General features: G+C 39.9%; 1 annotated feature.

The window, feature by feature from the left end:
- Nucleotides 2,447–2,516: an enhancer, noted in NCBI's record as "active region_25012". NCBI's record gives its function as "activates an Ori minimal core promoter by ATAC-STARR-seq in GM12878 lymphoblastoid cells {active_cell/tissue: GM12878}" and the evidence as "EXISTENCE:reporter gene assay evidence [ECO:0000049][PMID:35858748]".

Raw genomic sequence — 8,992 nt, forward strand, 5'->3', positions numbered from 1 at the left:
TGATTATATTTCTTCTATTAACAGTATTTTAACCCTATTCCTTGCATACACACACACACAACCAAGTATTGTTGTATTAAGCTAGCATTATTTTCTTAGGTTTTCATGATATAGAAACCTACCTTTAGCGAAGTTGCTGAATAATCTGGGCTGGGTGGTGCCATGTTCAAATAGTTTTTCCTGATTGCCAATCTCAGATACCCACCTTATAATGCAATCACAGATTGTGCTAATTCAGTGTAAAATACTCTTAAAGTACCTTGATGCATGTGTCGATTAAGTTAATGGTTCTCAGCTGGGACCAATTTTACTTCACAGGTGATGCTGGCGATTGAAAACATTTTGGAATGTAACTGAGGGGAAGAGGTTATTACTAGAGGACAGAGGCCAGGAATGGTCCTAAACATCCTACAACGCACAGGACAGGCTCACATAACAAAGAATTATCCAGTTCAAAACTCCCCTCAGGGAGCTTTCATCCGTGTTTTGATTAGGGAGGTAAAATCACTAAGACTTACTTTTGGACATGTCCTTATGGGATTGTGCTCTGATTTGAAGCAGAACCACTTCTGTGGATAAAAGGCCAAAGTGTCCTCATTTTCCAAATTTCTCCCTTACAATGACTCACACACACACTCATTCACTCAGAGGAAATCAAGATAAAGAGCAAGAAGCTTCAAAATCTCAGCCTGACAGAGGGTGTGTGATGAAGGTTAGGGTTCAATTTGCTCCCTTCATCTTGGAGACAGGGAGGCAAGTTTGGACAGTACTGGTATTAGAAGGAATTCCTTCCTACTCCTCTCCCTTCTTCACTCATATCTGGCCTCACTGGCAGGGTTTCCAGATAAAATATAGGATGTCCTGCTGTCTTAGCTTAAGCTGCCATAACAAAATACCACGGATTAGGTGGCTTAAACAACACACATTTATTTCTCACAGTTTTGGAGGGTGGGAAGTCCAAAAGGAAGGTATCGGCAGGTTTGGTTCCTGGTGAGGGCTGTCCTTCTGGCTGCCAGGTGCCCACGTTATCACTGTGTCTTCACATGGCCTTTCCTTGGTGCATGGCTGTGGAGAGACCCCTCTCTCTCTCTCCATATAAAGCCACCAATCCCATTAGACTAGGATCCCACCTTTATGTCCTTATTTAATTACCGTCTAAAAGTTCTATCTTCAAAGATAGTTACAGTATGGGTTAGAGCTTCAACATACGAACTTTAGGGAGAACACATTTCAGTCTGTAGCACCAGTTAAATTTGAATTACAGATAAACAACAAATAATTTACTGGGCATACTTATATTAAACATTATTCATTGTTAATCCAACATGTAAAATTTAATTGGAAATCCTGTATTTTTATTGGCTAAATCTGCCAAACCTCTTCCCTGGGCCATTAGCTGGCATTGGCAACACAGACCCTGTTCTAGGATCAAAAACACAGGAGGAATGTGATGGATTCCAGAGTCACATTTCTACAGGATAGGTCTGATTTTGCCTAAAAAACATATCCCCTTCCCTTTGCTTGTCTGTCATTTGGAGAAACTTCTTTACTAACACCAGTGCATGGTTGTTGCAAGTGCAACTGTGCCCTTTCCAGAATGTGAAAAGAATAAATGTTGCCATTTACAATTAGAGTATTAATTTTATTTTTTTCTATGTGATACAGATATTGAATAATTTGGAAAGTAAAGGGGAATTTTTGTTATGGCTTTTATAATTTTCAGCCTCAAATTTAATAACAATATTATTTATTGATGATTAATAAGTCATCATTTTATTACCTCATTTTTAATATAGCATTTTGCTATACTCTGCCATAAATTTTCATATATTATCATTTACCTCAAGGAACTTATTAAAATACTGTCAGTTATTCAATTTTCTACAACTTTCAAAAAAATTATAAAAATACCAAAAGAATGACTCCAGGTCTTTCTCTGTGGTGTGTCTGTGTTTTGGTTATGCTTATATTTTCTCATTCATTAATTGACAAATATTTTTTAATACATATAGTGAACCGGACATTTGATAAGCATAACTAAGACCCTCTTACTGGATTTCTGAACTTCACACTTTGACAAACGTAACACAATTGCTTGGCAGTTTGTATTAGTTGCATGTTGCTATGTAACAAATTAGCTCAAATCTGGAAGCAATAGCGTTTCTATGTCACAGTTTTCTACAGGTCAAGAATCTGGGTACAGCTTATCTGGGTCCTGTGCTCCAGAGCCTCAGAGGTTTCAGAGTTGACGAGGGCTATGGTCTTATGGTGTGAGTGAGAAATGAGCCTTTCTAAGCTTCCTTGTGAGGTTGTGGCAGGATTCAGTTCCTCAAAGGTTGTTGGACTGAGGGCCTCAGTTCCTCACTGGCTGTTGGCCAGAAGCTGCTCTCAGTTTCTCACCACATGGGCCTCACCATATGATAGTTCAGAACATGACTGCTAGTTTCTATTAGAGAAGTCAAGTGACAGGGCCAGAGAGAGAGTGCCAGCATGACCAAAATAATCTTTTGTAACCTAACCATGGAAGTGACATTCTAAGACTTTTGCTATATTTTATTTGTTAGAAGGAAGTCTCTAGGTCCAGCCCTTAGGAGAAATTAATGTTAGGGGCAAAAACTGAAGCCATTTTTAAGATACTACTTTAACTTCTGGCCTTTGTTTTTCAAAAAGTCTAACTCATTGAAGTGATTAATATAAGTTATCTTGAAGGACAGAGGAGAATAGAGGGGAACAATTTTCAAGTTAAGGAGAGAGGGTGGGAAAGATTTCCTCAGGAGTAAAGAGGCTAGAAGTCTGACAGCCTGTTGAGAACAATTGCCCTAGGGATAAATGAGATGAGGGACCAGAGCTGATTCTACCTGGGTGTAAAGGTAATAAATGGACATTTCTTACACACCTGTGTAAATCTGTACACCGAGAATCTTTGTTGTTTTTGATATTTATCAACGTTTATTCACTTTAGGAGTTGACATGTGACTAAGAGGGGACAAAAACCAATGTTTTAAACTAACTGCATAGTCATTTTATGGATATAAATCTTAGTGTGTTTGATTTAAATGGGTTGCTGTAGAATTTGGTAAGACCTTTTAAGTTATGTCAGAGAGAATTTGTTCCAGAGCAATTATGATGCTTGCAGCCAACTTAATATTCATTTTCATAATTATTTTCCAATACATGAAATGCTGTAAAAAGACCAGAACAAATGAATTTTTGCTCATTTAATTTGCTATTTTTAGTGATCAGGATATGGTGTTTATTAGGCTTGTGAAATGAAAATGTTACATGTTCAAATTTGAGATAAAATCTTAGTAAACTGAACAAAAATTATGATATCTCCCATGCTTCATTCTTAATTCTACTGCTCCTTCCGTTTGAAAAAAATTCAAATATTTTAGTCTTACTTGTCGGTTCCTCTGCTTCGGACCTCTTAGCAATTCCTGCATTCCCAATGCTGTGATTCTGGTCAGAGCATGTCTCTTTCTGCTGGTCTTCTGCCGGAGCCTTCCAACAGCTCCCCATGGATGCTCCTCAAACCCATCCTCTACACAGCGAGAGAGTGATCTGAAAACAAATGAACAAACAAAAAAAGTCAGACCACACCCTTCCCTTTGCAAAACCCACCCGAAGCTTCTCATTCAACTTTGAATAAAACACAGACTCTTTAGATATCTTCAACCTGCCTGTTCAATGCCAGCTATACTCCCCCCTCACTCTACTCCACTTTTGTTCTGGCCCTCATACTTACAAAACTCTAGAGCCTAATTCAGGTGAGTCAAGCATACCAAATCCCAGCACTTTGGGAGGCCGAGGTGGGCGGATCACCTGAGGTCAGGATTTCGAGACCAGCCTGGCCAACATGGTGAAACCCCGTCTCTACTAAAAATACAAAAATTAGCTAGGTATGCTGGCAGGCGCCTGTAATCCCGGCTACTCGAGAGGCTGAAGCAGGAGAATCACTTGAGCCTAGGAGGTGGAGGATGCAGTAAGCCTAGATCATGCCACGGCACTCCAGCCTGGGAGACAGAGAGAGACTCCATCTCAAAGCAAACAAACAAACAAAGAACCACACACACAAATAACAAAAAGCAAATCTGCTTGAGGTAATCAAAGTGCTCATAATGATTACTTTCCATAGATTAGCTGTTACCTGGATGGAGTCAGATTCTGTCTCATGTGTTTGATTCTAGTTTCTTCTGTCAAATGACTGATGATAATCGAGGACTTCCTGTGGCAAGCAAATTAAAATAACTTTCTCTGCCATTACTCTCCAAAGCGTGTGAAGATGACCTGTTTAGCTGTTCAGTTGGTCTTTTGCTCAGAGTTCAAAGCCTCCTATTTCTTTATTTGATAAAGTTTAGCAGTAATATCTGTGGGTCAGAAATTTCATGCTATTTAGAGACTGGGCAGTGGATATGTGAGCCTGAGGCAAGTTTATTTGTTATTAATTTCTCTCTCCTTCAGCTCACCAGTCCTCATGAGCAGACATGCCCTACTTATCAATATGACCTATGCATTAACAACTTTGGAAGACCCCGGTTGGCTATATCCTTTGAAAGGAGATGCATTTTCTTGATTAAACAATATACCATTACAATGGGTAAGCTTGAAAGAGATGGAGAAAATGGAGTTACTAATCATTCTTCATGCTCTTCAGGAAATGCAATTTCTATTTCAGTAAAGCAAATAATTTCTCTTTGGTAAGAAAAAAAAAAAAAGAACTCTAAATGCTCCTCACCTGTGGGTCATACCTGAAAGCCTCAGTCTATCCTATGGGATGCTATGCATTCCTTCTGTATGGCATTCTTTCTTCCAGTTGTTTCTAAGTGGTAGACAGAGTTGAGGCTGAGCTTAGGTCACTTTTCCTGGAGATTTTATGTTATGACTCTTGTAGTTCTCTCAGAGTATACCTGGACTAAAGACTTCAAGTTCTCAAAAGAAAAATAAGACTATGTATCAGCCATAGAAACATATATTAAGAGATGATAAAAGCAAACAAAATGGTATATTAAAAGCTCTTGTCACTTCTTCCAGAGAGCCAAAGAAATGCCTATTAAGCATCAACTGTGTGCTCAGCACTCTATTAGGATGAGCAAATCATTTATTTGGGATTGAACAATGACATATATACTACAATGAAGAACATGAAAAATATACAGCATAATAGAAGGCAAAATCAGAGACTGTAGGAGCCAAAAGGCGGGGAATCAAAAGAACTGAGATGACCAGCAAAGCCTTCAAGAGTCTTCAGTGATGAGAATGATTTGCCTAGGAGCCAAAGCCTTAGTCATTCTCCTTACAAAGCCTATGTGACAGCTTCCCTGTTAATTTTTTCACAGATAACATTCCATCTCCTCAGAAGTGTGTGACCCTTTGGGCCACAGCTGGCTCCTTCCAGAGAGGAGAGGCTTAAGTCCTGATTCCCCTATTTACCTGGGGACTCCAGATGTTTGCAATACAAGGTCAAGTTTATAGAACCACCCAATACCATTTCCGTCTTCAAATATGGGCTCAGGTTTCCTTGGAGGCAACATAATTATTTATCAGCACTCATTTAAAACCTGCTCAGGATGATTACCACAGGACTGATCAGTCTCTTCTGTCCATATACCCCAGCATAGGGGCTGAAGGGCATTCTCTTAACTCCCAACACCACTTGTAAACCTAAGCACTCATGCAAAAATCCTTCCTCTTTGGACTTTCAGGTTTTCCATCTTTTTCTTCTTAATAGCTGTCATCTACAGAACTCCTGGCCACTTTTCCATACTCAGTAATGACTATGGGCTCTGAATCCCTGTCATCGTCTTCATCCCAAACACCACCATCTTTCTTGAAATAAGCACAGGCTTTGAAATGAAAAAGAAGTGGGTTTGAGATTCAGCTCTGCTATGTACCAGTTGTGTGACCATGGGCAAGTTACATAATTTCTCTGATCCTTAGTTTCCTCATACGTAAAACATAAGAATAGTGCTTACTTCAAAAGGCTGTGCAATTACGCGTGTAACTTGCTCACCACAATGCTGAGCCATAGACAGTGATAAATAAATATTGCTTATGAAGATTGCTATGAGTAACAGCACACCCAACACCCTTGTTTATAGTTCATTGATCTTCTCAGCTCTACCATCTCGTCCTATGCAGCCCCACCTTCAGCTTTGGGCTGCACCTTTGCAACCTGAATGTTCCTCCTGCAAAATCTTAAACATCTACATTTTTATGCCACCTTTTTCTATTATTCTAGGCCTCTTATTTCTATGCTCACTTTACACCTGTTCTTCAGTTTTTTTTATCTTCAGTTCCTCTTTGTTCTTCTTTCTCTCGTTTCTCAAAAGTGTACAGACCTCATAATGTTATTTAATTTATAACAGTCTTTGACAACTCTCTTGCTTTTTGGTTTTTCTTCTGCATCTTTCTGATAAAACCTTATTCATAAATCAAACCAGGTGACTTCTTCTTCTGTTTTCATACCCAGTTTCCAGAGAGCTACTAGAAAAAAATGCATTTCAATGAGAATGTGTAAGTTTACAGTTTCCAACCTGGCTCTGGTGAACTCCCTCTGCCAGGCGTCACCTCATCGTCTGTACCTTCAACACTCTCTTGGAGTTCCCTACATATCACCTCTCTCAAAGCTTCCAGCTGAGCTGCTTGACAATTACATCATGAGAGGAACTTTTTAAACTTTCTGCTACTTCCGCTCTCTTAGCCCTTTCCTAGCTCCTCCCGCTCCAATGATATAGTAACACTTGCTCTTACAGTAGAAAGTTCTGTATCCCATCCTTCCCTGTTTCATCGGGGATGTTGTTCCATTGTTTTATCTCAATCCTCTCCTGTTGCTTTACCCTTTTTTTCACTTAATGTGCTCTTTCTCTCAGAATGTAAATGTGTTCAAGATCTTCCCTTCTTCATACACTCACCCTCTTCAGACACTATTGACTAGACTCTGACACATTCTTCCTGGTGTTTCCTCGTATGAATCCCTGCCTCTCTGGCCAGGCTTTCTCAGCTGTTATTGTTTCTTCTTCTTCTCTTCCCATTCCCCTTCCCCTCCCTCCACTTCTCCTTTGTTTTCAGGATTCTATCCTCAATCTCTCCCTGTTGTTAATCTGGATCCTCTCATACAGGGGCGATAGACACAATATTTAACAAGGCAGAGTTGGGTACTGACAAATCAGAATAGATATGGTCAAAAGCAATTCATAGCCATGCCATGGTGTACTGGCTGAGCATTAGCCCTGACTCCATGGAATCAACCTCCCCTGTGGTTTACATCTGTACTGCCATCTCAACTCTCTTTCCGTAAATCAAAGTGAACACACACACAGGAATGTATTATAAGCACCGCAAGTTTAACATTTCTAAAACAGAGCTCTTCTTTTCCTCTCTTCGCTTCTCCAAATGTTTCTTCTCCTGTACTCCCCCTACTGCTACTGATAGGGAACTGGCACCTTACTATATTCTGAGCATTACTGTATCACCACTATGACCTCAGGTCCATTTTCTACTTTTGCTGTGGGAAGACCACAAATCTTAAGCAGTAAATTCCCTGCTAAAAAATGCTATAATAGCTTCCTACTGCTTTTAGAATAAAATCCAAGCCTCTTAGGAAATATAAGGCTCTTCGGGATTTGGCCTGTGCCTCCCTCTTTAACCTGGCCTCTCAGCACTTTCCTTACCACCCTTAATCTTTTGTGCCCTCCACTTTATCCTGGATAGATATCCGCCTCCAAAAGTCATGCTAATGACTTTTGCCATGTACTTTTTACAGCATCTCTCTACTACCTGGCCCACTGTTACCACCACCCACTCACCCTAACTTCTTGGTTAGAATAGCTCCTGCTTTAAAAGCTTCATCAGATATGTCCTTTTAAAAGGAGGACTTATTGAGCTCCCCACTCTCCAGTATGAGTTAAGTACACCCCCCCCGCCCCTGCTCCCATTGCCTCATGACTACCTCTTCCATTACACTTACCAGAAATTTTTGTATCTGACCATTACCTCTCTAGTTCTTCACTGCAATGTGATATCCTTGAAGGCAGAGACTATGAGTCTCAAGCTGAATTAGTGCTTAGCATACAGTAGGAGTCAATGGGAGCTCATGGATTGAAAGGCTGACTGCACCAAGCAGGAAGATCATAGATGATGAACACAAGCACACTGGGTCTGTTCATTGTTGGTATGAGGGTTCTGTTTATCATTTGAAAAAACTCGAAATTAGTGATGCAGATGACACTGCCTGGTCTTTGATCAGTGTTTGGAGGAACTATCAAGATAGACAGAAACTGTCCCTCAGGAGTTTCTGAGCATCTACAACTGATCAGAGGGCTCTGTGAGCACCTGCTGCCTTCCCCTGGGTACCCATGGCGGCTTAATGAATCTTGACTACTGACTGTACCTTTCTCTGTGCTTTACCAAAACAAGTTAATATGCTTTAAGTAAGTTGCATTTGCCACTCTCCTCCTTTCTATATTTTTTCTTTCATAGAGTAAGAAAAGCAGCAAAATGGACATAGGCAACATTCTTCAAATCACTTTGTTTTATATTTTGGAGGCTTTTTCAAATCCTGCCTATTTTTAATTGTTTCAGTAAAGCTAAATAATTTATTTTTTTTAATGTTTCTCTGTTGTCCTGTAATTTTATTATATCCAAAGTGTATTCCAGACACAAATTGTGATTTAGCTTGTGATTCTGGATCCTCAATTGCCTGCATCCACTTAATTTAAAATTCTATGGCAGGATGATACACTTTAATTAGAGGGTCAAACCACCATGTCTCTGGTGCCCTGGGGGCGGTGGTGAACATGTTGGGGGAAGCACAAGTCTGAGTGGTAAAGGAAGAGGTTGTCTTCAGTCCCCAGATCAGGCTGAGTAATTTGGAGCTGATTAACATCACAGTAGTAAAAGACTCTTCCTTCAGAATCATCTTTTAAATTATTGCTCAAATGGTGGTTAAAACATCCCTTCATTTGCCCTTCCCACTCTCATCTTTTATTGCCCA

The sequence above is a fragment of the Homo sapiens genome, chromosome 6 (genome assembly GCF_000001405.40).
Source record: "Homo sapiens chromosome 6, GRCh38.p14 Primary Assembly".
NCBI lineage: Eukaryota > Metazoa > Chordata > Mammalia > Primates > Hominidae > Homo > Homo sapiens.